At 42.6% G+C, this 27,883-nt stretch overlaps 1 long non-coding RNA gene across 1 annotated transcript; it reads left to right on the top strand.

Moving 5' to 3' along the window:
- The first annotated feature begins 17,983 nt into the window (after positions 1-17,983).
- LOC102724152 (uncharacterized) lies at positions 17,984-25,102 on the top strand. The gene is made up of 2 exons (NR_134620.1): positions 17,984-18,147; positions 24,811-25,102. It is a non-coding gene; the product is annotated as an uncharacterized LOC102724152 (long non-coding RNA).

The raw sequence follows: 27,883 nt of genomic DNA, 5'->3' as shown, positions 1-27,883 counted from the left end.
ACATGAAAATGAATTAGGCCTTGAAAATGACAAGAATTGAAGTCAAAATCAAGATATCACATCTTTGGCTATTACACTTGCACACACGTGCACACACAAATGTTCAGAGCAGGCAGAAGAATCAAAAGTATTTGATTTCTTCTACTTTTATGAGAAAACCACTGAAGTGAACTTCACCAACACCATTTTCTCCCTCAAATTCCAAACTAGTTTGTGCTTAATCCCATTCAAGCACATTCATAAGAGACTTTTATCCCTGGAAGGACCATGTGAGTCATCCACATGTGGAAATGCACAGTTCATGTCCCATATAAATCAGATGCTGCCTGGGGATGAATTTTCTTCAAATAGGCACAGCTGACATATGCATTTGCAGCAAGACTGTGTGGTACCCACATCTGTCTTACCCTGAAGCAGAGGCTTCACTTGATCATGTTTATTTACAGTAAAGTTCCCTGATAAAATCATCACATGCTGGAGGGAATGGCAATGAGTACACACACAGAGACCAGCACAGTCCCCCACAGTGGGCACGCCTTCCATATCCTGAGCCCAGGACACAAAACCAAGTGAGGGAACAGCAATGAGTACACACACACAGACGAGCACAGTCCCACCCAGTGGGCACACCTTCCGTATCCTGAGCCCAGGACACAAAACCAAGCCACTCTGCCCTGGAACATGATCAAAGAAATACCATTCTCAACATCGTGCCTCGGTCTGATCGAGCTCACTGCTTTTTGATGAATACTCTCATGCTACCACCTCTATTTCAGAAAACACAATTACTAAACTGGAGGAGGTCATGTTTGTTTGTTTCACAAAAGGAGAAAAGGACAGAACAGAGAGAGAAAATTAAAACATTACTCTGATGATATTTCAATTAATCTGGGACCTCGATATTCTGGAGAAAGGCCTCTTTGATCCAGTTATTTCCGTAAATGCACAATAACCTCTGATTACTGTGAATGGACATTTATTCATGCAAGTTTAGGTCACCAACGAATGATTGTGCCCAGGCAAAACATACACATACTCACAGTCACTCATTCCTTATGAAACCTAGGGAAATGCAGTAAATTTTAACTTGGGAGAATAAAGGTTAAGCATGGCAGTTAAAGGGGTAAAATTTGAAAGTCAATCATTAGAATAAATATCCCTAGTGAATTACCACAATCCTAATGTTTCTAGCTCTGCTGTCTCCCAGATTTAAAGCACTTATTAGCACCCAGTAAGAAAAGCAATTCCTGCCCATAAAAGCCAGAAGTTCACCTTTTTCAACTTGGCCCAAGATATTCAATCCTTCCCATCTGCAAACATGGAGCACTTGGCATGAGCCAGCGTTACTCTTGGCTTTGATGGCAGATACAAGAGATGGACAGGCCACCACCCTCAAGCTGTTCCCAGTCCACTGTGGGGAAGGATAGAATTATCTACAATGGAAAGAATAGTTTTCTAAGTTTTCTGAACCCACCAGACAGAATGGAGGGAGGGAAGATCTTCATGAGAGGCACGAGGGACGCCGGAGAGCCCCTAAAGGGAACAGTGTGCTCCCGGGTGAGGGCTATGACAGCTCCAGGCAAACTCTGGAGTACTAGGTGGGTGTCAAAGTGTGTCCTGGTCAGGGTCCAAGCAAGGCAGCAGAGCCAGTACAAGACACACATGGAAGGATCGAGGACCAGGAAGCATCCATGGGACTGTGGGGGCTGAGTACACTGAAATCCACAGGACAGGAGGTCAGGACACGAAGACCATGGGGAGGACAGGGCTGCTGGATCGGCAGGTGGAATGTCCTCTCTCTGGGAAAGCCTCAGCCCTGCTTTCAAGGGCCCACTAAGTCAGGCTCACCCAGATTACCCAGGATAACCTCCGTAAAGTCAACTAAGTATGGACTTCAATTACACCTGCAAAATCCCTTCAGGGCAACACCTAGACTAGCGGCCGACTGCGTCGTTAGACCGTAGCCTCGCCAAGTAAACGCATCAAAAGCTGCCACGGGAGGTTATTGTTGTTACTGGAGTCAGCTAATTGAGCCGCCAGGCTGCCTAGGTCTGAACTCTGGGACTGTCACTACTAGTTCTATGTTCTTGAGCAAGTTACTCAACTATTCAGTGCCTCAATTTCCCCATCTATAAAATGATGATGACAAACAGTACCTACTTTATAGCTGTTTTGTAAGGATTAAATTTGCTGACAAATGTGAAATGCTTAGAATACTGAAATGTAAGAAGAATTCAGTAATTGTTACCTGTTTTGGACTATGATTACTTAAGGCATGTGTGAGTAACAGTGTGTGTAGCTAATACATCAAAAATTACTTTAGCAAGCTGGTGGCAGAGCCAGGACTGGAAATGAGGGTCCCAGAATCAAATCCTTTGGTAGCTGTTTATTCAGCATCTGTTATGCTTGCAAGTGTAGAAATTTAATGAAGTGTAAATAGAAGTCTTATCCTTGTGAAGTCACATTATAGCTGATAATATGAGACAGACTGTACCCAACAATGCATTCCACATGCCAAATGAAGAGTAGGGAAAATGGTGCTGTAAGAGTCCATGTGGGGAGAAGGACTTGCCTTTGTCTGGGCAGATGCCTTGCGAAGGGGTGTAGTCTCTTCTGGGGCGGGAGAGGTGAGAAAAGAACAGAGGGGAGGGGTGGTAGGCAAGGGCCGCAGGGGCAAAAAGGCACAGAAGCCGGAAAGGCAATGAGGGCGCTGGGCCAGCAAGAAAACCCCCAAAATGTGAAGTGTTCACTTCTAAGGACTAGTTGGTATTGCTTCACTTAGGAAAGAATTCACTTGCCAGCTTGAGCCTCTGTCTTTGTATAGAAATCCCAAAGCACAGTCCCACAAGCTTAACAGCAAGCCAGAGATTAAAAATGCCTCTGTTCATGATTTTTTTTTCATGGAGTTGGGTTTCCCCTGGTTTTTCTCCAGTGGTAGGCTTTAATTGAAGCAATAGATACAGCAGCTGATACCTCATATTAAAATAGTTTCACCAGCCTGGCACAGCCGAAGGATTTTATTTTACAAAATCTATAACCAGAAAACATTGGCTTTGCCTTTTGTACTAGAGATGTGATGGAATTAAAGGATTCAAGATTGCAAAGCCTTCGTGAATAATTTAGAATCATCTAGTCCCAGCAAATATTCCCTTCACTTTCTATGTGCCAATATTGGACTCTGACATCTGAGGAGGGTTTAATGCTGCTGAGTACTCTCTAATTCAGAATCATCTTCAAACATACACATACACACACGTGCGCACACACACCCACACATACACACGCATGCACGTGCGCACACACTCCTTTCAACTGTTCTATGTGACTTTATGTCTGAAATCTCAGAATTCTCAGTATGATGTGTAAAATATCACAATTCTCAGCTTTGTGATTTATATAATTTATTTTAACAAACACTTACTTGACACTTACTAACCATATCCCAAACAGTGGCTCATGTTGGTCCTCATAAGAAATCTATTAGGTAAGAACAATAATCATGCTCTTTTTGTAGATGAGGTAATCAAAACACGAAGAGGTTAAGTCACATATCTAAGCCACACATCTAGTAAGTGACAGAACTGGGATTCAGATGCAGGCTCTCGGATCCCTGAGTTTATACATTTAACCGTTAATCTGCCCCTCAGACTGGACACCAAAAGACCGATATCGATATCCAAGGACTGCTATATCCTTTCTGCTACATACTCAGGAAGGGTCAAGACACTGAGTGGGTCTCTACCCAATTTGGAGAATCCATCCTCAGCCTGAATCCCAACAAGCAGTTATTGTGTCCATTAACCTTTGAACAAGAGAAAACATTCTCCATTACCACAGCATGTCAATGACTGGATACAGAGACTTGGCAGAAACTGCCAAGGCATCCAATTTGATCTATAAGCCAAAGCAGGGCAAAATGGCATTTCCAGAGGAAAAGAAACTGGTAGGGCAATTTATAGCCCATACTGGAGCAGAAGCCTCAAGAACACCTTGGGGAAGCATTTTATACTCTGCATAAATATTAAATATTTATCAGTGTAGACTGAATTTTCCCTAAAAGGTCATAAAGGTCCTCATACACCAAAGTGACCCTCCAAGTGCAGGTGTGCACGGATCACAGCAAAAAGGATCATCTAAATCTGGACCACACAAGAAAAAAGAGGCATCCAGACCAGCATGGTATGTACTCTTGCCCTGCCTAAGAGCTTCAATCATATAAAGGACTTGGGAGTCTATACCAGACTTATGCTACAGATCATTTGCCATACAGGAGGCTTAATTATCATTAAGTTAGTACAGAAAGAAAAGCTGCCTCAAGTGAATCCGCTTAAAATAGAAACCAACATATCACAGTTGAATGATCAAACTGTTCAACTGAGGTTTTATCTTGAACTAGAAATCAAAACAAATTTGTTTTGTTTCTATTTAACATCTTTTTAGGTTCTTATTAAACAAACAATGCATCAAGTATGGATGGTGGCAGTGTTTGAGCATGACAGCTTACATTTATACCCAACTTCCTCAGCCCAATCAAAAAGAGGGTCAGTTTTGCAAAAATATCACAGCACATTTCATCAATGCTTCCAAGCATCCCTCTTGATCTGTTGAAACTTATCACATCACTGTCCTTATCAGTTTTCTACTCTTCACATGTTAGCTAGTATAGCCTTCCCAGGAACTCACTTTTCAAGGGCTTTGCACAAGATTTGAACAGTTCTCCAACATCACTTTCAGTAATTTCATAAATCCTGCTTCTATTGTAAGGCTCAAAATTTCACTTTGCAAATGTTTTGCAGGCATTTGCATGGCAATGTCTGATGTAATAAAGACTATGATAAAGAAGGAAGGAGGTTTCCATGAGACCAGTCATTCTTCTATTGATTGGTGTCTATTTTTTGTTATGATGACTTTTATTTTCTCCAGGCAGACTTACACCTGAAGATACCACAGAAATAACAACAGAACAACAACCTCTTCTTGTGACTCCGTTTAAGTGACTGAAACCTTGGAATTCTCCAGCTTGAGTTAAATTCCTACATGTATCTTTTTTATTTTCATCATGAAGTCCTGCATTATAGATGCTCTAGGGAAGTTACAGCCTAATTACCTGCATCAGATGAACCTAACCTCCAGTAGGACTCTGGTACTTTCCATTTTCATTAAGATAAACAATGACATATGCTTAAAAGCTTCCAAATACAAATCTATTAAAACTAATATATAAAATATTCATTTTTAAATATTTTTATAACTAGCCTGGCAAAAATTTAAAGAACATTCTCACATACCAAAAACAATGACAAATCCTGAATAGAAAGAGGTAAGCAAGGGCGATCTGCTAATGTCTGAGGGCTGAGTGGGGAAAACAGAAGAGCAAGTATATGTAAGCCATTAAATCAGATCAGAGACCACCACACAATGAACACCAGGACCCTCGGTAAACAACACCCACAAGAAGAAGGCAGCATGAAAAGACTGCTTCAGCACGGGCTCTGAATGGAGGGAGGAAAATTCCCTGAGAACGTCTAACCACATTCTGGTACTCACTGTGTTTGGGGCCAGAATTCACCCTACTTATGTAGCTCTGTGATCCATGGTATTTCTCTCGATAGACACAGGACAAAAACCTTAAACCCAGACCTCAAAGAATTCCTATACACTAATTTCCAAGTAATATGTTTCACAATTCAAAGTCGAGCAATGCATACAAGGATAAAAGCTACTATAAACAAGCAAACCCACAAAGAAGTAGAATTGAGAATTATCAAAATATATATATATAAAATACACATATCTAGTATGTTTGAAGAAATTAAAGAAGATACGAAACTCATGATGCAAAATTAATAATCATGAAAAAACCATATCTTCTAAAATTGGAAAAGGTGGAAAATAAAATAAACACACAAAATAAATTTAATATAATAAAGTTAGGAATGCAAAGGTTGGGTTAAAACAGAAAATTAGACATCTCTGAAGAGAGAATTAGTGAAGTGAAAAATAAATTTGAAGGAATATTCCAGAATGTATCGCAGAGATGTAAAGAGGAAAAATATTAACAAGGAATTGAGAAACACAGTAATAGAGTGAGATGGCCTACCATATATCTAATTGAAGTTTCTAAAGGAGATAATACAATGAGACAGAATATTTGAAGAGATAATGGTTGAGAATTTTTCCAAATTAATGACAGACATAAATCTTCAGATTCAAGAAACTCAACAAATCTCAAGTAGGGAAAATAAATACTAAAACACTGGAGAACAATAGTATATTAATTGGGACAATCATGATTGAAATTAAGACATTCTAAGTTTTTTTTATTCTTTAGGAAGAAAGTAAAGATATTAACTGAATTTAGACTTTAGCTTAAATATATTTTAGTGATTTTTGGAAAATCACTACAAGATAATACATTACTTCAAATCAGTATAGAAAAAATTACAATAAAGAAGGAAAAGGAAGAAAAGGCCAGTCAATCCAAACATAAACAAAAAAGAAAAGCACTAATAAAAAGCAGAGCAAATATAAAGCACAAAAATGAAATGGCCAAGATAAATAAGATATATCTATAATCACAATAAATGTGAACAAAAAAACTCATGAGTTAAAAGACATTGATTGTCAGAGAAATTACATATATATTGAGAAATTGTATCTATATTGTCCACAATATGTATAGCTAGAAAGAAAAATACACACACATACACACACACACACACACACACACACCCATACATACAAACACATGCAGTATACTGGAAACATATCTAAGACAGAAAGACTTAGAAAAGTTGAAAATAAAAAAAACATAGAAAATACTAATAAAATAATTGGTATTAATAGGAGAAATAGTCTTTAAAGTAATAAGTATTACTAGACATAAATGGGGCCATTAGGCTATAATAAAATGATGAATTTTATTATCATTTTTATTATGAAAATTTCTAAAATCTTAACCTTGTAGGCTCACCTATTAATATAACTGCAAAATATACTTTTAAATGGCAGAACTTCAAGATAATCTGACAAATCTACCAATATAGAGGGAAACAGTAACATTCCTCTCTAAATAATTGGTAGACCAAGCAATAAAAAATATGAAAAATATAGAATATTTTAATAATATAAATAACTATGCTGATTTGCTTCCTAAAGCTACAGAAGTATTTTCAAGAACACACGAACATTTATAAAAATATTTCTGGCCATAAACAAAACTTCAACACATTTCTAAAAATCACTATAGTACAAACCACATTCTCTGACCCAGTGCAAGTTAAAAATCAAAAAGAAAAAGAATTTTTACACCCCCACCAACGTATAAAGTTAAAAACACCCTGTTAAATAGCTCTTGGTTCAAAGAATAAACCGTAACTGGTATTTTAAAATGCTCTGGACTAAACAATAATAAATATACCACAAACCAAAACTCCCATGTTGTATCTATACCATCCTCAAAGAGAAATGTATAGGCTTGAGTGCTTATTTTAGAAAAAAAGTTTTTAAATGGCTTAAAGTTAATGAACCAAGTATAAAACTTAAATAGTTATATAACAACAAAATAAAACTTTAAAAAATTTAGAAGTATGAACACAAAATGATGAAACAGAAATAATGAAACAGTTTATACTGAAAGTATAACAGAAAATGATGAAATAGAAAACAAAGACACACAAAAAAAAGAAATTAACAAAACCAAAGACTGGATTTTTACAAGACTTAAAACATGGATAATCCTTTTGCAAGATTGATCAATAAAAGAGGATACATAAATAAAAAATATTCAGTGCATACGCTAAACTACACATACGCATCAAGATTCAGGATTCAGGGCAAGCTACTCAAGGTGTTTTAAACTGTAAAGCACTGAATACATGGAATGAGGGGCCTAAAACTTGCTGGAGGTTCTGCAAGAACCTTTCCAGGTTGGACTTACAAATATGACTCTGGTAACAACTTAGAACTACCCTCAAGGGGAAGTTCCTTCTTCTGAAGCCACCACTAGAGCTGCAAGCTCAAGAAGACATTCCAGGAGCTGCCATCAAAGGACTAGGAAGCTGATACCAGAGCCAAAATCACAACACCCTCTTGTAACCCAGAAGCCTGAGCACAAATGCAGAACACTCTATACAAAAAAATCCAAACAGCCAAAAGAGGGCAAGAAGATTGTCTCTGCTTCACTAATGCCTTCCAAATTTCACATCAGTGTATCTAATTGGTGCAAACTACCCAACTTGTCTCTCTCAATGGAGGAGGGGCAGGTCCAGAGAGCCAATCTACACACAAATCCCTCTCCTGAAGCATCCGTCACCACTTATTTCCATTGAGTTGTGATTGCCTCCTACAAGCAAACACACTAAAAATATCTAAAACTAGAAGAGAGCTCTTCTCAGACTTCATAAGAATCAGGATAGAAAAATGTGTTTAAACTCCATTTTCTGTCAAATAAGACTAGTTGCCCATTAGTGCAAGTCATATTCTGCCTTAATCCACTATCTTCTTTTTTCTTTTACTTGTTTTTTCCTACCTCTCAAACAAAAGCTCACTTTTGATTACATAGATAATGTTAAGGACTAAATAACTCAAATAACTTCCCTAGTTCCTTTCACATTGCCTATGATGATCTAGAAGAAGCCACGAGAGCCATGTCCATAATAATCTCAGGTCCAAACTAGAAAATACAACAAACTGAAAAGTATCAAGCTGAAGACAAATGTTGCATTAAAAGTTGATATAACCAGCTGGGCACAGTGGCTCTCACCTGTAGTCCCAGTTACTCAGAAGGCTAGGGCGAGAGGACTGCTTGAAACCAGGTGTTGAAAGCTGAAGTGAGCTACGACTGCACTCCAGCCTTGGAAACAGAGCAAGAGTTAATCTTTTATTTATAAATAAATAAATAGGAAGGAAGGAAGGAAGGAAGGAAGGAAGGAAGGAAAGGGAGGGAGGGAGGAAGGAAGGTTGGTTGGTTGGTTGGCATAACCCATGATGCTGAAGAGTGCTCCTTTAAGCTAACCATCATTATTATCAGCCAGAACAATACTGAAAGTGCAGCTAATACATACAAAGAACTGTCAACATTTTATCACAAGTGACATTTTGTAAAAAGCTGACAGAACTTTTATGGAACTGTCTTAAGACTGCTGCATGTGCCAGTTGATCCACTGATGTCTGACGTGATCAATGAAGTTGCCTGGTGACCCACAACATCCAAAAAAGGGAAAGCAAAACCTCTTCCCAAAATCTTCATTTGGTTCAAGATGCCACATACAGGATGATACTTTAACATGAATGGAAACACAGGTTGCAGGGCATAACTAGCATTCGCTGCTATCTATGTCTCACACACTAAATACACAGCACTTTGATAAAACAGAGACAAGGCATGCCATAAATATCTGCAGATGCCCTGTGTATTCGTTTTCCATCTCCATGTAACAAAGTATCTCAAATTGAGTGGCTGAAAACAACACACACTTCTTATCTCGTGGTTTCTATGGGCAGGTTTCCAGGCATGACTTAGTGAGTTCTCTGCTCAGGATCTCACAAGGCTGGAATCAAGAGTGTTAGCCAGGGCTGGGGGCTCCTCTGAGGCTGGGTTCTTGGGCATGTTCACAGGGTTGTTGGCTGAATCCATTACATCGCAGCTGTATAACTCAGGTCAGCTCATTTCTTCGAGGCTAGCTGATTTCTTCAGCTTTCTGACCCCTAGAGTTTCTTTCAGAATGCTCACCTGGTTCGGTCAGACCTATAATGCATTCTTATAATTTTGTGTTGCCTCAGCATCCATTCTGAATGCAAGTTTAACTTTCTCCTGCAGAAGCAGGGCTCAGTGACCCCTGGCAGTTTCCAGTCTGACACCACACCTACATGGCTCAAGCTGGTGGCCAGAGATGAGAACTTAGAGGCATCTCTCCTGCCTATTAGACTGGGTCCCCCTTTCCTGCCACTTCCTTTAAGGGGACCATTGATTCCGGCATTTGCCCCCGAACTTGGAGGGCCCACAGCCTATTCCCTTATATATACTGCTAGTTGCCACACACACCCTCTCTCTGCCCAACTCTTCATTCCTGCCTTGCCTGACTTTAGGATAGAGGACTGCCCACCCACATCATCACACCCTCCTTGCCCAAGATCTGTAAGTAAAAATCTTTTAGCTTGTTTCCTATTGTGGTGGTGGATTGAGGTAATCATAAACTGGACACAGCTCACACAGAGCCACAAGGGTGTCTGCCAATACAAACAAGTTTCCCATGTAAGGAACCCCCTGGTCATGGGTCAGACAACTAGGCATTAGGCCATCCACCAGGTTTCAGAAGTGTCCCATGAAAGGCACACCGAAAACACCCACATCCAGCTCCCTTTGTTCCCTGCTAGGACAGGGCTGCTAGTTGCTCTGGTACTGGAACCCAAAGGGCTCTCAAATTAAGGTCCACACAGGATAATCTTCCTTTCAATTATTATAAAGTCAACTGATTAAGGACCTTAACTACTCTACAAAATCCCTTTACCTTTACCATATTTTATTAGTTAGAAGCAAGTTAAAGGTCCCACCCAAACCCAAGAGGAGGGGATTATACAAGTGCATAGGTCATTGGGGGGTCATCGTAGAATTCTGCCCACTACCATCTTTATGTGGCAAAATAGCAAGGAACCCCTGCATACTTTTCCATATTAGGTGTATGGCTAATACTGTATTGTAATATTTAAATGAGCAGTCAGTCTCTCAGAGAATGCTGCTGCTACTGCTATACCTCTGTTTTTTTTTGAGTTATTCACTCAACAAACATCTTTCTACTAACAACAACATATCAACTACTGTTCAAAGTGTTGTGTATATGAAAATGAATGAGCGACAGTTCTTGACTATGACGAAATGACAATCACAATCACCTTATCCCATTAGCCAGGCAACAATAGTCAGGTTGGTCTTTTGTTACTGATTTGTCACTATTTTGCTACATTACTTGTTTTTCTGCAAAACCCTTTCTCTAGCATGACTGCAGAGGTGGTTATTTAGCCTGATTTTATTATGACCATGAATGTAGGAGCCTGAGGCCAATGCTGCAAACCAGATGTTTCAGGAAACCATTCTTACCTGTCTGTGCTTAATGAAAAGAATAATGACCTGTTTCAAACGAACTACCCAAGCAAAGATTCACAGGCTTTCTCTTCTGAAAATCATCAAGGATAAGAGGAAACCTGGTTCAACAGCAAACCGTTCTTCAGCATGTCAGAACAAACTATGGGTTTTCTTGCCCTGCATTAAACCAAAGCTACCATGCAAAGCTGATAAACCAGCAATCTGGATTAGTCATTCATAGCCAAGCATCCACTAAGCACCTGAATATGTTATCCATCTGGAATTCAGAAGCCTAAGTGGAGAATTTGTCCAATAATTCCCAATCTATTTAATGGAATCCGAATCTCCATTCACCACACATATAATCTTATGGAGCTGTGTGTGTAACCCCTAAGATCAAAACCAGATGAATATCCCAGAGCCTGGTTTCCTCATGAGATGGAACATGGAGTAATTATGGGACAGCGGGCTGTGTTCACAGTGTTTTCCAAAAATTATCAATCGCTTTGTTGCCACTCAACTTTGTAGGTTTTACAAGTAAATAAAATAAACTTCTTGATAGTAACTATTACTTCCAAAGAAAGTGGTCTAAGTGTTCCATTACCCTGGTGTATTAGTGAGGGTTCTCTAGAGGGAAAGAACTAATAGGATTCACATATGTATGAAAGGGAGTTTATTAGGGAGTGTTAACTCACAGGATCACAAGGTGAAGTCCCACAGTAGACCGTCTGCAAGCTGCAGAGTAAGGAAGCCAGTCCGAGTCCCAAAACCTCAAAAGTAGGGAAGCCAACAGGGCAGCCTTCAGTCTATGGCCCATGGCCCGAGGCCCAAGAGCCCCTGGCAAACCACTGGCGTAAGTCCAAGAGTCCAAAAGCTGAAAAAGTTGGAGTCTGATGTTCGAGGGCAGGAAGCATCCAGCACAGGATAAAGATGAAGGCCAGAAGACTCAGCAAGTCAGCTCCTTCCACCTTCCTTCTGCCTGCTTATATTCTAGCCACACTGGCAGCTGAATAGATGATGCCCACTCAGCTTGGGGGTGGGTCTGCCTCTCCCAGTCCACTGATTCAAATGCTAATCTCCTTTGGCAACACCCTCACAGACACGCCCAGGAACAATACTTTGCATCCTTCAATCCAATCAGGTTGACACTCAATATTAATCATCACAAGTCCACCCCTTGTCAACTTGAACCCATACACATCTCCTGAAACCATACATAATCTTCAAAGAAAGACAATAATAAGATCATAATTACACCTAATAATACAGATACACTTCATACAACCAGAAGCATACTAATCCTTAACCTAAATGCTATTACATAAAGTTAACAACACTTAAATGCTGATATGAAGTCAATAAATCTTATGTCACATGATAAAGGAAATAAAAGATTTTCTTAGTACAAGTCTATACATGCACAAACATGTTCTAAACAAAATAAGGAGGAAATACTCATGACAATTACAATCCTCGTTTCTGCAACTGGTCACATGATTGTAGCTGGTATTGATGACTACCTTCTTCTACTACCCATTCTGTATTCCCTATGCCTTCAGCAAGCACCTCAGCAGGTCGTGGTTTTTTTTACCTGTTAGAGTGACCCAAACCTTCATTCCTGAAGGCTCTGGGCCATCTGTAGTCCTCCTCCCTGGATTGGGTTGTTGTGGTTTCCCATGACCTTAATTACAGGGCATGGTAATACTAAGAGATGCCCTAAGGGATCTCCTGTATTCCACACATACTCTTCCTTACCTCCACTGTGGAGTATTAGTCTGATTTCATTTTGATAGTCTAGGTCAATCACCCCAACCAACACTATAACTCCCTTCCATACTGTTGATTTAGAAGTAGGAGGAGCCCCAAGTGGCCAGGTCGCAATCTTAACTTCCAATTTAATGGAATCATTGTTGTGTTTCCTGGTGACAGCATTCCTCCCTCTTGAACTAAGACCTCTAGGCCAGCAGAACATAATGTCATGGGAACAGGAAGCAATAATTGTGCTAGTGGATCATTCCTGGGGAGGTGGCTGACAGGTGGATGAATGGCCTGCAGCTGGTGTCACCTGTTATGCCCAGCCTTATGATTATATATGTATATATTAATTATGTATTATGTATGAATATGTAACATAACATGTATACATATAATATGTATACATAATATGTCATACACAAAATATGAATTTATATATATAAATATTATATATGATTATACATTATGTATATTATAACACATGATTTAGTTCAAATGTTTCCTTCACTTGACCAGACCTGACCTCTAAAGTTATGACTCTGATGCAGTGTCCAAGAATACCTTTTGGTCAATTACACTAACAATCAATTGTAGCAACTATAAGAAAACAGCAATTTTGAAAAAAGAAAGAAAAGAAATCTTACTGACCTACTTAAAATTATGCTACCAGGCCACAATGCTAAACTCATTCAAAGCCATCTCCTATTATTAAATATCATTTTGCCTTTTCTCATTTCCTTCTTTTGAATATCACTTCTATTTTGGATGACATTAACATAATGCCATTCTTCAAAGAGTACAAAGTGCTTTGTTAGCTCCTCATCATGTTCCCATCCATTCAACAATACATGGGCACCTCAATATGAGTCACTGTTGCCAATAACAATGGTCATACTCTTAACACCATGTTCAATTTGAGCACCTCAGCTTAAGGAAGAAATGGAGAACTTGGAGACAGTTCCTCTAAAGAATCCCAATTCTTTCTCTTTTTCCCTTTGCTCCCTCTCCACCACTGCCCTTACTTCTCCTTCCTCCCGTAGCAGTCACACTCATACTCACTCACACATGCACACCACTTGCTTTTCCATTTTCCAGTAAAGCTCAGTGACTGGTACAGTGTGCCTGCTGTGCACACCTGTAAGACCCAGTAACTACAGGTTCAGCAAGAGACCATGCGTAAGAATCATTGCATTCAAGTGATAATATGGGATTTTGCAAGTCTACAGATACAATATTAATTATTTACCAAAAAATGAGTTGCACCTGCATTCAAAATATAACTATACCAAATTTATAATATGTAGATGATTTCAACTCTTTTATCACGTATTTGTTTTTTTAAAAAATAATTATGTTAAAAGAGGCTCCCTCAGGAAACAAATCCTTATGTTTAACTTAACTCCCATTTTCCATCCCAGGCTTCTCTGTAATAAAACCAAAACTCATCTGACACGTTTGTAGAGCACTTTACCCAAAGAGTCCCAAAGGCTTTACAGATTTCATTCTATCAGAGGGAAGGGGAGTAAATTATTCACTTTACTGAGAGCTATGAATAACGTTTCCTGGCTACCTCAGTCAACTACCTCTAATAGTGATAAACTAAATCAGGCTCTCTCAGCCATATATAGGCCCACATCTATCTGTGAGCTTGCCAGGACCCAGAGAGACTAGATCTACTTTCCCCATGCCATCTTTCCATCCATCTTTCCCATCTCCAATCACATCCCATCTTCCCCCTCTTCACTCTGATCTTTACTCACCAGATCAAAATGTGGAAACAGAAAATGAGAACAATTCAAAAACTGAAGGATCAATGCACTAAATAGTTCCCTGACACCCTGAAAGGTTAATGTCATTTCAAAGAACAAGCCTCCATTCCATCTTACCAGTCTCCTTGTGCCATCCGTCCCCAAAATTAAATTCAGTATTCTAACTACATACTATCATTGGTCACCAATAGAAGCAAAATGGAAAGAAGGACCAGGAATGAGTCAAAATAAACTAATGTCTAAAGACAGACAATATTCATATATATATATATTATAGCAGTCATTAGAAAACACTAGTAAAACACTAAAGAAGACCACGAAAAAGAACTGCAGGAAATCTTTAGCAAGGACCCAGTGAGAAAGCCTACAAATGCTCTTTTATAGTAGGATGCTCATTCTCAAAGAGGCAACAGGAATCATTTCATTTTTGCTCAAGGAAAATAAAGGTGAAGAAAATTCACCACTTGACTGTACTAGTTCTGGAAGACTCAACAATAACCTCCCTAGAGTCATTCAATCAACTAACATTAGTCATGATCCTACACTGTCACAGCACTGTGCAAGGCATGGAAAAGGTATAAACATGCAAGGTATCAACATCCCTGCCTAGGAGATCTTCTAGTCATCACTTGGTTTTCTACTATTGGCCTACATTAAGCTGGGAACCATCTGGAAAGGGCTAATGGTGTGATCTAGTTTGGATCTGTGTCCCTGCCCAAATCTCCTGGTGAAATGTAATCCCCAAAGTTGGAGGTGGCGTGTGATGGGAGGTGAATGGATCGTGGGGGACGATTTCTCATGAATGGTTTAGCACCATCCTCTAGGTGTTGTCCTTGCAATAGGGAGTGAATTTTCATGAGATTTGGTGGTTTAAAAGTGTATGGCACCTCCCCAACCCTCGCTCTTCCTCCTGCTCTGGCCATGTGATACACCTGCTCCCCCTTCGCCTTCCGCCATGATAAAAGTTTCCTGAGGCCTCCCCAGAAGCAGAGCAGGTGCCAGCATCGTGCTTCCTGTACAGCCTGCAGGACTGTGAGTCAATTAAACCTCTTTCCTTTATAAATTAACCAGTCTCAAGTATTCTTTATAGCAATACGAGAATGGACTAACACACAATGGAACTTCTAATTTATTATTAGAAGCATACACACCCCAAATACTCTTTTTAATGTTAACATTACTTACACTATAGTAATAAATATATGCCGAACTGCAAATAAACATCTTTACAGATTAAGAATCAATGCACTAAATGTTTCAGCTTCACTCTACTATCTAATCAATTCCACAGCAGTTTATTGCTGTGTATATGCCAAATCGATAAAAAATGCACCTTAAAAATACCTATAAAATAGAATGCTATAGAACAGATACTATAGGACTACAAGAAGCAATTACACTGTGCAATTATATAGCACAATACCAACAGCAAGCAGTTATTGTAACTACCCATGAAAAATTATGGGATGTTTCAAGCTAACTTGCTTTTCCATTACATCCTTCTCAAACAAAATCCAGTATCAAGGAGTGTATTATAGTCCTTTATTCGCATATTCTGGCACTGCCACCAAAATTGAAATGTTCAGGGCTAAACAGGACGAATAGAATGATTCAAAAATTGTATTCAAAGCATGGGCTCCCTTTGGTCCCCAGTGGAATACTACTAAGGCTGCAGAAAGACCACAACCCCATGCTCAAAAAAGGCGTGAAGAAAATAACTCAGAGGACGAGGGTCACTGCCTTCAAACATTCAAACAGGTACCACATAAAGAGGGATGAGACATTCTACAAGGACCCACAGACCAACGAGTCAGAGCTGCTAGGAGAAACTGTGTTTTAATGTGAAGGCAGATTTCCTAAAACTTGGCTCCTCCCCAAAGGAAGAGGCTTGTCTCAGGCCCCAGGGAACTCTTATCTTTGAACTGTCAAGACCATATATTAGATGGTTACAAGAGAATCTTGCCTTTTGGAGGAGAGACCTTGATGACTTGTACAGCGCCCCTCCTGCTCACCTGCTGCTTAACAGAGAATGGTATCATGTGTGGAGCCATTAAAGGCAACAGGGTATCTGAGAAAGTATTCCCGCTGCTCTATAAGGGAGAACTTTCCAGAACTGAACATCAACTAGCTGCTTCAGAAACCATCACTAATCAGACCTCGGGAAATCCAACGAATTGTGCCCCTATTAAATGTAGTGAGTACAAAGTGATGTCCACCAAACATAACAGCACACAACTTAGACTGCCGAGAACATAGGAGAATATTCTAGGAAGGAAATAGCCAAGCCCAGCTCCCAAAGTATAATTAAGGGAGTTTTTCTTTTATTGGTGTTTGTTTGTTTGTTTGTTTGTTTGTTTTTGAGACAGTCTCACACTGTCTTCCAGGCTGGTGTGCAATGGCGCTATCTCGGCTCACTGCAACCTCCGCCTCCCGGATTCAAGTGATTCTCCTGCGTCAGCCTCCCGAGTAGCTGGGATTACAGGCACCTGCTACCACACCCGACTAATTTTTTTGTATTTTTAGCAGAGAAGGGGTTTCACCGTGTTAGCCAGGATGGTCTCAATCTCCTGACCTCGTGATCCGCTCGCCTCGGGCTCCCAAAGTGCTGGGATTACAGGCGTGAGCCACCGCGCCCGGCCAGTGTTTCTTTTTTATAAAGAAATCGTGTATGCACATTTTCTTTTTCGCGTGGATTTTGTGTTCTGTGCTTTATTATTGCTCCATAAACGATTACCGTGTATGTGTAGCTAAGTTAGATGTTTTGCCACAATGGGGTCACCGTTCCCTGTGAACGCAGACGCGGCCCTGCGCAGGCTCGGGTTCCACGCCAGGCCTGGCGCCTTTGCGCTGCAGCACTGCCCGGAACAGCGAATCCAGCGAGAGTCAGAGGGCCTGAAGGTAGACGTCCCAGGCCCCACACTGCCCACCCAGCACTGCCTTGGGACTGGCGCGGTGCTCCCATCTCACCCTGGCATCTGCAGAGTTCAAGGGGGCGCAGTGCGCTGCGTAATGCTCCGTCCTCATCCCCGCGGGGCCTCACTGACAAACAGGCATCACTCCTGGGAACCCACCAGCTCTGGGGAGGGCTGCTTAGACTGGGCGGAGGCACCTTACTCTACCCATGCACTGCAGGTCGCCCACGACTTGGCCCCAGTAGCCATTACCTCGAGTATCGCCAGTCCCAGAGGCAAACGGAAGAGGCCTAGGCATCCAGAAGTGCGTCCCCAAAGCTCCCGCGCAGGAGGAATAACCGTCACTTCCGCTTGCCTCTCATTGGTCAGAGTGAGTCACATGGTGGCATGACGTCAATGGGGGCAGGGCCAGCATCCTCCCGGGTGCCCGCCCTAAGCCTCAGCGGAGCCGCTGGGAGGTGGAGGCGACTTACCGTGGCAAGCCTGGGTGGGTGGGCAGGTGGGTGCCCCTTACTGCTGAGATAAGGCTGTTCAGGGAAGCAGCCTCCTGACAGTGCGTGATGAGCAGGCGTGTAAATCCCAGTGCTAGCCAGGATCCAGGAAAAGGCCAGGCTTTCCCACCTGGCAGGTGAGTGGGGTCCCCTGGACCACCTGGAGGCCACGCAGGAGCAGCGGTGCTACAGCCCCGTGCAGTGAACCCACTCAGATCTCAGGCGTGGTTTCTGGGAGCCACTCAGCCCCTGGCTTCCTAAGACCTTTCCCACCCCACCCCGCCCCTAGTCTTCCCTTCTAAGACTCTTTAGAAAGGAGCCTGTGGTCAAACTTTGCCCACGCATCTAACCTCCAGCCTGAGTCCCTGGGAACTTTATTACGTCACTGCCTCCTGCATAGCTACTGTCCACGTTTAAATATTATTTGAACCATCGTAGCTTCGAGAGGTTAAAACTTTAAGTGAAGAGGAAAATGAACCTTACAGTTCAGCCTCGACTGCCCAATGCCTGTGACTTCTCAGGCATCGCAGCACAAAGATCTACAAGGAACTCATCCAAATGAGACATCTTCCTCATTAGCGTTTATCATTAACTGAGAAAAGAAAGAAGCATTTAAAGTATCTTTTTTTTTTTTCCTGAAGGTATGGAACTCCAATTTTCTCCAAGTAAATATGGACCCATTCGGTTGTTTTTTAAATGAACGCTTTGTCTTTACAATTTGTGCTACAGCAAGCTCTCCTCTTCATTTCTAACTCTTTTTACTGGAGGACCCCTAGAGAAAGTAGTTTGGGGACTTCCATGCTTATTAGATGCACATCAAGCAGATCCTGTTTACTCCGTCTCAGCTTTTCTTTCATGGCATCAGGGGCAGGATATTATTTGCAAGCAGCCAAGGTAATTACCATCCAGCAGGGTCCAATTGTTTTCAATTAAAAGCTTTACTGCAGTCTTTAGTTTTAATACCATTGTGGCCATCTGCTTTCACTGAAGATCTACCAGCCAAAAGCCCAGACCACATCTTAATGCCATTAACTCCTGAGAGCCATTTTCCTCCAGAATGAACTCAATAGTCCAGGGGAAATATGGGGATAGCCTCATGTTATCTTTGGTGGCCTGGGGAAAGCTATAGGACTCAGGAAGGTTATTTTCAGAAAGACAAGCACTACCTCTTCTTGCCTGAAGTACTAGGTAATTGTCTTAATTCTCTGCTTCACTTCAGCAGAGGATGCCGAACTGTAACTGCTCCATTGCACATTTTCCATCCAGCCTCAATATTCTGTAGCTCTATTATAAAATGTCTCTGAACTGTAATTTCATCAGATGGATCACTTTGGTATAGACATTTTCCATTTTGATATTCAATTTCTATCCAACTCTGCTTAGCTCACCATGACCCAAAATCTAGGTGTGGGTAAACGGTAAGGAGTGACCCAGGTTACCGAATGGATGCTCACACTGCAATGTGAGGTCATTTAACTGTTTTCATGGCTTAAAACCTGCAGGCCATTCCAGTCACAAATTTATTAGGGATTAACTAGAGAGTTTTATTGAACTATCAGGGACAATAGCCCAAAGCCTAGACTTGGAGTTTACAGCACATGTTTTGCCTACTCCTGAGGGTTCACACTGTGCATTGGTTCCACCAAAGCCATTTACATTTCTCCCTTCTCCTTCCCTTCCTCTGCAAGGGAGGCTTCTTTGCAACCCAGGTGGCCATGGCCCATAACCCTGGCCAATAAGATGGAGGGTGCAAGTCCAAGAGGAAAGATTACCTTCTCCCAAAACCATACAGAGGCTCTATGCTCTTTGATTTCCTTTGCCCTTGTGCAAAAATCACTAGCTATGTCAGATCTACCAGTAGGATTTATTGTTTTGATTTGTTTGTTTGTTTAAAAAAATCCTAACTGCTGAAGTAATCAAAACTAAGAAAATGGTCACAAAAGTGTCCAAGAAAACCAGAGGTATTGCCTTCCTGGTTCCAGAAAGCATTTCCATTTTGAGGCAGCAAAATTAATATCTTAATTCTCAAAATTATAAGACAAAAAATTCTGGAAGGAATTACTCAAACTAAAAGAATCTAGAATGCAAAATCAATAATCCCTGTGGCATAGCTATCACTTTCCTACAAATATTTCTGGCTTTCCTTCTGGGAATAAGATGGGCTTGTGCTTCCTTGCCCCTCCAACATGAGATATCACGGTCGTTTGTTACAGCAAAATAACCAGTCTGACTGCTACCCAATGCTAACAAACAAACTCTGGAAAATGCAGGGACATTGAGTTGGAGAAAATGATCTTTGAAAAGCCCTGAAAAGCGGGGCACGGTGGCTCATGCTTGTAACCTCAGCACTTTGGGAGGCCGAGGCGGGCGGATCACGAGGTCAGGAGATCGAGACCACAGTGAAACCCCATCTCTACTAAAAATACTAAAAATTAGCCAGGCATGGTGGTGGGTGCCTGTAGTCCCAGCTACTCGGAGAGGCTGAGGCAGGAGAATGGCGTGAACCCGGGAGGCGGGGCTTGCAGTGAGCCAAGATCACACCACTGCACTCCAGCCTGGGCGACAGAGCGAGACTCTGTCTCAAAAAAAAAAAAAAAAAAAAAAAAAGAAAAGAAAGGCACTGGAATGTTATCAAGATCACCCAGTGACTCCGATGTGCAAGAAAGCTTAGAAACCATCCAATCAAAGTCTTTTTTTCTTAATTCAAAAAAAAAACACTCTTTTTATGGGCATAAAAGTATTTATTTCAAAGAGGTCAGAAAGCAATGGCTGGCCATGCCAGAAAAGGAAGCTAAGACGGCTAGGATCTAACTAGGAGGGTAAGTTGCAACCTGTTCATACTGCCCAGATGGAAAGGGGACTCCTATAATATCAGCTTCATACATCCACTGTCTGTAACTTCCGTTACCTAATACCATCTCCGTCAGCCTTTCAGCCAAGTATGGTAGCATCTTTCTCGAATATTTATAAATTGCCTACAAGCACTGAAATTGCTGTTAGAAACTATACATCTTCAAACATGCACACTCCATTCTGTTCTCTCCAGACTCTGTTCTCCCCAGAATCCTGCTAATTTCTCTACAGTTTCAAGTCTCAGTCAGGGCTTCAGAAGGTTGAGGAACAGGCTACCCTCTGCAGTCAAGTTTGTCCTGGCTACGAAGTCCTGCCCCACCTGCAATCTGCCTCTGCCCTCGTGCAGTTGTGACAGACTGGAAAGCGCATTGTATTGAATTACCCTTTCTAGAAAAGAGCCAAGTAAGAAATTAGTTATTCATAAGTTCTTTGTGCATGATTTGCCACAGAAATAACATGAACTATTTTTGTAGGGCTTTGACAAACCTGACTAGGCTTAGCCCAACCTGGAATAGTCCCTGGGGAGCCTGCGAAAAACAAGCCACATGAGCTGTCCTGATGCTAGCTTCTGAGGGCCCTGACCCCCAGATCTCTATCCTCCCCCTCACCCTGCTTCTCATCCCCACCCCCTGCAGTCCTTCCTCTCAGGCTTTTGCAGTTACTCAAGATACTGTGCACGTAGCAGAGCAATCAGATGCTTTCTCTCAGATGGCTTGGCTAATGGCCACTTCCTGTGGTTGTCAAATGAAAAAAGAAGAACTAGCACATCCCCAATGACTTATTGTATCACTTCCCGTATCTGACTATCTGGCAGCCAGCATAATTTAACATCACTCGTAAATTAAGAGCCTCTTGCGAGGGTGCCACAGCTGAGCCCACCACCCCGTTTTGCTGATTAGAAAGAAACCGTGCCAGGACTTCCATTATGAATAGTCATTTCCTAAAATGTAACTCCAACAACACTGACATCTAATCATATATTAAATGAATGAATAGGGGTTCCATATCCACCCTGTGGACCTCTGAGCTCATTCTGAAGATTAAAGTGACTTCCTTTAACGTTCTCCCCACTAGCACCGTGCCCGTAAGGCCAGATTTCACCGCGACCGCCCCTTGCACCCCCCAACCAGCCCTCCAGCCCCCAGGTTATCCCCCACACTTTTCCCTGTCTCTTGGCTTTGCTCCGTTTCCCTTCCCTTCATGGCCTGGCCTGTGAGAAGAGTCAAGGTGAGCTCAAGCGAGGACCCTCATTCTGCCCCAACACCTCAGGCCCCTTTCTTGTTGAGAGTGGACAGCTCCATCAGGCACTTGGTGCCAAATGGAAGCAATGGAACTCGGTGCTGGCTCTCCATGTCCAGCCAGCGCTGGCTGCAAGCAGCAGAGACAAGCAGGGGCAGAAATCATAAGCAGACCCCTAGGGCTGCGTGTCCTCCCCTGGGCAGGCACACAGTGGGGCGTGCTAAGCAGCTTCGTAGGTAGTGGCTGCGCCGCATCTTGTTGACCTTAGCAGAGAATCCCATTCTCTGCTAGGCTTTCCAGCCAGGCTGGAAAAGCCTAGCTCATACTTGAGGAAAAAGACCTCCTTGATGCCATATAGGTGGTTTTGCATGTGCGTTCGTTCTGTTCTCTTGCTTTTTTCAGTGTGGGATTGTGAATGAGCACTGGAGCTGGGTCCAATGGCCCAATTTGCACACTGGCTTTGTTTGGTGCAGAGCGTGGCCACGGCCTCAGCAGCCCTATTGGAAGTGAGCTGTGTTTGGGTAAATCATGACCTCTCTGAGCCTTGGGTTTCCCTCTGTAAAATCGCAACCACACTCTACTGAGCCTTGATCTATGTTCAGGACTGTGAAAAATCAATGAGACAACACATATGAAAATACTCTGGGAAATGGAAATTTATAGCTGTCATTTTGCTAAAACTTATAAGAATAGATTAGCCCAGTTCTAGTAATAACTTCATCATTTATGAGTTGTGTGTCTTTAAACATGATATTTAAACTTCCTCAACCACAGGAACTTCATACAACTCATGGCTCCTTCCTAAGTTTGCTGTGAAAACTAAAATGAGTTGATATAAAATACATACCACAGTACTTGGCAGAGAACGTGAGCTCGGTAAATGACAACTGCTTTTATTTGTTATTGTTAGTATTTTTATTATCTGAAGAGGACAAAGAAGATAAAAAGCTTGTCCAAAAAAAAAATGAGATGCCATTTTTATATTTTATGAGTCTCGAAAAGATCAGGGACGTGGTTTCTAAAATGACTTTGATTCAAAAATAAAGACCAGTGTTTGATAGCTTCAGAATATTGTCTAACGGATTTGGGAACTCTGAAAAAAAAATATGAGAACAGCTGACACACTGCAGCTTAAATATAATCAGTCACTGAAATTGCTCTGCAATTTGTTTCAGTGTTTTCCTGTGGATTTCTTTTTTTAACCCTACATGTGTCCTAAATATATAATTATATGGCAGAGTATAATAGCTCATTTGGAATTATTGAGGTCCATTATATAATCCAGTAGGACCATGGGGCGGGGCCTGGAGGGGGTGGTTTTTCACTTGATGAGCACCACACATGCACTGGAGTAGAAGCTAATAGATGGTCTTAGCCCCAATTATCTTCTTCCCCAGGCCAGTCTCCCAAAAGACAGGGAGCACACTTTTCTGCCCTACAACCAAATTGTTTTAAATTGCTGTTGTGCATTTGCTTGAGAGGTCAAAATTTTTACAGAGATGTAAAATTCCTGAAGGGCAGAGAATAAGTGTGTACGTGTGTATATGTATGTCTCTGTATGTCTGTGTGTCTGTATGTGACTCTGTGTATAACAGTGTGTGTGTGTGTATATGAGTGTTTCTGGGTGTGTGTGTGTGTGTGAGTGACTGTGTATTAGTGTATGTCTATGAGTGTGTATGTGTCTCTGGGTGTGTGTCTGTATTTAACTGTGCCTGTCTGTGTGTCTGAGTGTGACTGTATATGACTCTGTGTGTGTGTGTGTGTGTGTGTGTATGTATGAGTGTTTCTGGGTGTATGTCTATATGTGACTGTGTCTGTGTGTCTGTGTATCTGTGTGAGTGTGACTCTGTGTGTGTGACTCTGTGTGTGTGTGTGTGTGTATGAGTGTTTCTGGGTGTATGTCTGTATGTGACTGTGTCTGTGTGTGTATCAGTGTGAGTGTCACTCTGTGTGTGTGACTGTGTGTGTGTGTATGAGTGTTTCTGGGTGTGTCTGTGTGAGTGTGACTCTGTATGTATTAGCCTATGTCTGTGTGTATGAGTGTCTCTGGGTGTGTGTCTGTGTGTGTCTCTGGGTGTAAAGTGTGTGTCCCAAAATGCTAAAAATGGTGGCTTGGACACAGCAAACACTCAATTTTTCAAGAAATGAATAAATGACACAAACTGCCTCTCCCCAGATACCTTTTCTTTGCATCAATCTATGAAATCTGTGTATGTATATAACTGTTAGGCCAGACTTGAAAATATACATTTTCTACCACCCTTACTTGGATTTAAAATAGAATTGGCCAGAGCTGTGGTCTTCTAGTAGAGTTAATCACCTTGCCGATATATCCCTGTTGATTAACTGATGGAGTCAATGCAGGCTTTTTGTCAATTTCCCTTCCTATTGGATAATTTCTCTCCTTCAAGAGAAATTAGGGCACTAGAGACCATATACTCAAAATCCATTACATAATTTACTTTTAATCCCAAGAGAAACCAAGACTGATGAAGGCTTTGCTGTGCCCTGAAAGATTGACTCATAAGGGTTGGGGGCAGAGACGCTCACCTGGTCCAGCCCTGCTGCATCCTCATGCTTGCAGGTTCTGAGCCGGGTATCCAGTCTGCTTCTTTAAGCCAATTCTATCTGAACTGGTCAGTCTTTAACTTCTTGCATTTAAAGTTTGTGAAGAACTGTGTTTCACCCAAAATTCGTTCATTTGCTAGGACACCGTCCCTCTGCCGCATAGGACTCTGTCAGCCCGTGGAAATGGGTGCCACTTTGCAAGCGGGCAAGATGCTTCTCAGCCCACTCCAGAATGCCTGTATCTGCTGACCCTGGAAGTGCTGTCTCCATCAGGCCCAAATCCAGAAGTCCAATCTGCCCCAAGAAGGCCCTCGCTTCTCTCTGGAGTTCAAGAGAACCTTCTGGGTATTCCAGATACCTCTGACCAACCAAGGGTGAGAGCAACCCCCACAGAGTGGTGTCACATTAAATATGGCACTTAGAGAAATCTCAGCCAAAAATTAGATTCTGCAATTATGTCCCTTAGTTTCAAGGCTGCAATCCAGGAATAGTCCTGACCACTTGTACCCCCTCTTTCCCAGGAAGCTGCTAAATGCCATATAGACCATATTCACAGGGATTCAGCTTTCTTCCTATCATTGAAAAGGAGCCATCAGTGATCCCAAGAGGGGATGAGGCCTAAGGCTGGTGGAGGAGCCCAGGAGCAATGGGGGATACGCTCATTGTGGGAAGGCTGTAACTGTGGGTGAGAGTGTTCATCTTGGTTGCAGAAGGAGGACTGCTCAGGTAGAAGGAAGAGGGAGCTGTCTCAAACCAGCAATGGGGGGTCTCCAGACACAGCGACATTAAGGTGGGCACATAGGAGGGCTCAGCAAAGGGCATGACCTGAAAGCCTTCAGGCAGGATGCAAGGACTGTGTCCTGGCGAGAAAAACCATTGAGCCTTCAGAGTCTTTATAATGACCCCAAAATATCCCAATGTTGACTCAGATCTGACTGGCATTTGGCAGTCACGGTGTCCCCATGATGACATTTGATAATACCTTCCTTCCCTGCCTTCAGCCATTGCTTGCTTCGAGCTTGCTTTTGATGTCCCTCACTTTTGTCCAAAATAAACTCTCTGCCGCAGCCAGCCCTGGCGGCTTCTCTCCGGCACATGAACTTGGCTCCCATGCCCACATGCCAGTGGAGTTTCCATAAGAAGCTATGGCATCCTTTCGTGATTCATTCTCAGGATTCATCCAGACCAGCTCCTCACCCAGAAAGGTGACCATCAGGAGTGGGCGACCCAACAGCACTGAGTCCCCAACTCCAAGCAAGCGGCCCCTCCACCTCCCCTGCCTCCAGGCCTTGTTCTCGCAGTTCTCCCTCCCAGAGCCCCCTCCCTTGTCTTCCTCACCTAACAAAACCCTAACCATCTCCCAAGGCCCAGTTTAGATCCTTCTTCCTCCATGGAGCCTCCTCTGCTCGGCCCAACCAGAGGAGAGGGCTCATTCCCATGAACTTATAGAAGCCATATAGGTCAAGGAAGGAGGCTCTTCAGTTTAGCCTTTATCGGAACAGCTTCTGTGAGCTAGGCACTCTGCTTAGGGCTTTCTGGGAAGGACTAATCGAATCCTCGTTGTAGGTACTATTATTAGCTACCATTCTCAGTTGGGGAAACTGAGGCACTAAGACGACAATGGACATACCCAAGGTCACCACTGATAAGCAGCCATTCGGGTGCTGAAACCCCAGTGCACTGGCCCTAGCGCTGGGCTCTGCACCACCTCCCGGGCCACCCTCCTGTTCCTTTTCCATTGGACACTCAGCCCCACGTGGCCTTGAGTCAGCTTTGGAGTTTGTCATTCTATATGCCCATGTCACCCCTGCAACCAGAGGGCAGGGACCATGGCTCAGTGTCTAGGAATGAAGCCGGCGGGGGTCCAGAAGGGCCTGAGGACTCTGGGTCCTGCCGTGAAGCACGGGGAGGAATCTGGGCAAGCCCTTTCTCTGTTTTGCTTCAAATCCACAGACTAACCAATATTTCTGTTTAGAGGTCCCTTGAATATGTTACTCCCGAGCCCAGGAGTAAAGAGGGAAATGGCTCAGTGGCCTGGGCTCTGTCACTGAATCTACATCTCTGTGTCAGGGGACCGCACACACTGCGGCTGGACGCTGGGTTTCTGTCCTTGTCACACGCGTTCCCTCCCAGGGCCATAGGCTTTCCACGGGAGCAGAGGAGGGAGTTGCTAGGGCTGGGAGACACTGGTCTTAGAGGAAAACCAGTCTACACAAGAATAAAAGACAGCCAGGCTCGTTCTAAAGCCCACCGCTCAGGACTGAAGTTGGAAGTCAACAAATAAAACTGCCGTGTCCCCGGTCCCCAGAGGCTGCAGTGGAGGACGGCTGGGTTATTTTGTGCTAAGAACTGATCCCCTAGCAGAACTGAACAAGGCTGCACGGTGATGGAAGGGAATCCCAGTTAATGCTGGGGATTTCAAACACATCAGGAACAGGAGGCGGAAGGACAGCCGGGAAGTCCACAAAGACCAGATGCGCGTCCTTCCTCAGCGGGAGAGGTTACAGGAGTTTCCTTCTCCAACTGATTCTACAAATTCCATCAGGCAGCAGCCTCCACTTACCAAATTGATCCCATCAGAAATGTAGGAGGAAATACTGATTGTGAATCAAAAATCATCCCCCTGTCAGGCCTAACTTCTACTTTTACCTCTACTTGACATTTGCTTCATGATTTAATTTACCTTTTCCTATTCACCCTTCCTTCTCTTGTTTACCTGGCTCCCAATTGAATTGAGCAGCTGAATTTTCATTATGCAAGTCAGAGGTCTGAGGAAAGTGTCTGAGCTTTGAATTCCTGCCAGTAATCCCATATCTGTTCTAGTTCATTCACCATAAAATCATGAATCCTCCTGACCCGCACTGACCTGCTCCAGTTAAAACAGGCATTAACAATGGGGGAGCAATTCATAGATAGGGAAGGGGACTAATTTTTCTGCTAAGCTTCACTCACCCTCAAGGACAAAAACAGTTCTGCAACAGCTTCTCTCTGCCTGTGTCCATTTGGAAACAAAGCAGATCCCAGGCAAAACCATGAGGTTGGCCCTAATCACCTGCCTAAGATCCAGCTTCCTCTTAATCATCTTAGGTGCCCCCCTTGCTCTAGCCCAGAGAGAAAGCACAGGCTGGCCCAGGGGGAGCTGAACCCCCATAATCCACAGCAACTCCTCCAGAACTCCCTGCAGTGACTACTGCACACCATGCCACTCTGAGA

This window comes from Homo sapiens, chromosome 6 (genome assembly GCF_000001405.40).
Source record: "Homo sapiens chromosome 6, GRCh38.p14 Primary Assembly".
Taxonomy (NCBI): Eukaryota; Metazoa; Chordata; class Mammalia; order Primates; family Hominidae; genus Homo; species Homo sapiens.
Note: the sequence above shows the minus strand (reverse complement) of the source record. Positions and strands in the feature narration are given on the sequence as shown.